Source organism: Homo sapiens, chromosome 6 (assembly GCF_000001405.40).
Source record: "Homo sapiens chromosome 6, GRCh38.p14 Primary Assembly".
Classification (NCBI taxonomy): Eukaryota; Metazoa; Chordata; class Mammalia; order Primates; family Hominidae; genus Homo; species Homo sapiens.
Window position 1 is genome coordinate 29,719,909 of NC_000006.12, and position 3,525 is coordinate 29,723,433.

Here is a 3,525-nt window from a genome sequence, read left to right on the forward strand (position 1 = left end):
TGTACTAAGAAAAATTCTTCTGCCTTGGGATCCTGTTGATCTGTGACCTTATCCCCAACCCTGTGCTCTCTGAAACATGTGCTGTGTCCACTCAGGGTTAGATGGATTGAGGGCGGTGCAAGATGTGCTTTGTTAAACAGATGCTTGAAGGCAGCATGCTCGTTAAGAGTCATCACCACTCCCTAATCTTAAGTACCCAGGGACACAAACACTGCGGAAGGCCGCAGGGTCCTCTGCCTAGGAAAACCAGAGACCTTTGTTCACTTGTTTATCTGCTGACCTTCCCTCCACTATTGTCCTATGACCCTGCCAAATCCCCCTCTGCGAGAAACACCCAAGAATGATCAATAAAAATAAAAAATAAAATAAAAAAAAAAAAAAAAAAAAAAAAAAAAAAAAGAAAGACCCAAGCCTTGCTAGGCTGATTCTATCATCCCCCCCATGATAGACGTGTAACCTTGGTCATTCACCTGACCCCAGTTATTCAACCAACAATAATGTAAGTCCTGCCTTGAAGGGATTTTTGCATATATAATTAAGGTCCTAAATCAATTGACTTTAAGACAGGGATTATCCCTGGTCGGGCTGTCCTCATCTGGCGAGCCCCTGAAAGGACTGGGTTCTTCCTGATCAGAGAGATTCACAGTGTGAGAGGGATTCAGTGTGAGGGGGTTCCTCCAATGTGGATTCTAAAAATGAAGGGGCTGTGTGGCAAAGAATGCTGGTGGGCACCAGGAATTGAGAGCAGCCTCTCTCTACCTTGACAGTAGGCAAGGAACAGGAACCTTAGTCCTACAACTGGCAGAAACTGAATTATGTCGCCTCTGTATAAGCCTGAAGGAGGCCCTCAAAATGAAAACACAGTTTTGGGAAACCCTAAACAGAGAACCCTCCAATCATGCTCAGATTTCTGACTAAGGAACTGTAAATAAATAAATAAGTGTTGTTTGGTCAACCATGGTAGCTCATGCCTGTAATCCTAAGGTTTGTGGGAATGACACAGGAGGATTACTTGCAGCCAGGAGTGAGACTAGCCTGGGCAATTTGAGGAGACCTTCCTCTCTACAAAAAGGAATTTTTTTTTTTTTTAATTTACCTGAGCACGGTGGTACTTGCCTGTAGTCCCAGGTACTCCAGACACTGAGGCAGGGGGACCTCTAGAGGCCAGGAGTTTGAGGTTGCAGGGAACCATGATCATGCCACTGCACTTCACCGTGGATAACAGAGGGAGACCATGTCTCTAAAAATAAATAAATAAATACAATAAATGGGTGTTGTTTAAAGCCAGTGTTTGTGGTAATTTGTTATGCAGTCATACAAAAGTCATACACAGACTCAACAGACACATGGAATGAATTTATAAATTGATAAGCACACTACATGAGTAAAATAAAATATTTCCTTTTTCCAGTATTTTTCATTTTATAATATTCCATGATGCGATTAAATTTTTATACAATCATATTTCATTCAACTAGACAACAAAAATTAATTTAGTGCCTATGCTGAACCAGGTATGCCCTCATATGCTCAAGTGCCTGACATTCTAGAAGCTTCACAAGACCGAAGTGGAGCCACTGGAGTGTTTTAGGTGAAGAAACGACACACTTTGACTCACAGTAGCAGGACCACTGTGGAGAGAACACTCAGGTGGCAGGTAATGGAACAGTGCTAGAGCCACTATTCAGGAGTGACAGAGTGGTGGGGACTAAGGGAAGAGGAGGGCCTGAGGGATGAGAGGGACGGAGGGAAGGGCTGGAGAAGCAGGAGGTGAGGAGAAGGAGCAGAGGGACAGAATTTGAAAGCAGCAGAATTCTTAGCTTTAAACACATTGTTTTATAAATTTTTAATACATCCATCTACAGAGCCTAGCAGGGTGTTCCTTGCATTTGGCCTTTAACACCTTATGTGGGACTGCCTAAAAATTAATTGCTTTTTCTGCTTTTTTTCAGGTTTAAAAAAATACTAAGTGTTCCAATAAAACATGCACACCACTTAGATGCGGATACTTCCTAAAAACAGGAAGTGCATGAGCACTGGTGAGGGGCATTGTGACTGCGTTGAACACTTGCAACTTTGAGGTGAATGAATGTATTGGCTCCTGGTTGCAATATACAATCACACGTTGTGCTACTTTGTATTGTCAGGAGATGTCCTGGACTCCCACAGAAACTCAGGGCTATGGAATGAAGGTAATTTTAGAATACAACAAGAGTCACAGATACATAGTCTGGGAAAGCAAAACTTAGGAGCTCTGAGAGTTGTACAACTGTAATGCATTTAGACACATTTATATATCAAGGGGCCAAAGTAACAGTTTTTACACATAAGATTCCTGATTGGTCGGGCGCGGTGGCTCATGCCTGTAATCGCAGCACTTTGGGAGGCCGAGGCGGGAGGATCACGAGGTCAGGAGATCGAGACCATCCTGGCTAACACGGTGAAACCCGTCTCTACAAAAAAATTAGCCGGGCGTGGTGGCGGGCATCTGTAGTCTCAGCTACTCGGGAGGCTGAAGCAGAAGAATGGCGTGAACCCGGGACGCAGAGCTTGCAGTGAGCCGAGATCGCGCCACTGCACTCCAGCCTGGGCGGCAGAGAGAGACTCCGTCTCAAAAAAAAAAAAAAAAAAAAAAAAAAAAAAAAAAAAAAAAAGGTTCCTGATAATTCAGGGGTTACCAAGATTCTACTACTCACTGCAGCTAATAAAAAAAAAAAAGAAAGAAAGAAACTGGTCTCTGTCCTATTTCATATGCTCAGGTACAACTTTTCCAGAGAAGAAGAGGAGGGGGGCGGGGAGGAGCAGGAGGAGGAGGAAAGAAGGAGGAGAAGGAGAAGGAGAAGGAGAAGGAGAGGAAGAGGAAGAGGAAGAGGAAGAGGAAGAAGAAGAAGAAGAAGAAGAAGAAGAAGAAGAAGAAGAAGAAGAAGAAGAAGAAGAAGAAGAAGAAGAAGAAGAAGAAGAAGAAGAAGAAGAAGAAGAAGAAAAGGAAGAAGAAGAAACTGTCTCTACACCTTCATTCTCAGGACAAGTTCATTGTCTGGCACCAAGCTCCTTGGGGTGAATTTTCTTCCAAAAGAGTCCGGGGAGTCCAGGTATGGAATGGGAGGCAGAAAGTTCAATCAAGGGACTGGGATTTCGGAATGAATAATGAAGGGAGATGGACTGGGTCCATGCCGAAGGTTTCTCCCTGGTTTCTCAGCCCCCGGGCGAAGACTCAGGGAGACATTGAGACACACCCTGCACAGGAGGGGGAGGGGGAGGGGGAGGGCAAAGTCCCAGGGCCCCAGGAGTGGCTCTCAAGGGCTCAGGCCCCGAGGCGGTGTCTGGGGTTGGGAGGCTCAGTATTGAGAATTCCCCATCTCCCCAGAGTTTCTCTTTCTCTCCCAACCCGTGTCAGGTCCTTCTTCCTGGATACTCATAACGCGGCCCCATTTCTCACTCCCATTGGGCGTCGCGTTTCTAGAGAAGCCAATCAGTGTCGCCGCAGTTCCCAGGTTCTAAAGTCCCACGCACCCCGCGGGACTC

The 3,525-nt window shown here is 45.3% G+C and overlaps 1 pseudogene; it reads right to left on the reverse strand.

The window, feature by feature from the left end:
• On the reverse strand, window positions 1,270–2,259 carry HCG4P11 (HLA complex group 4 pseudogene 11; annotated as a pseudogene).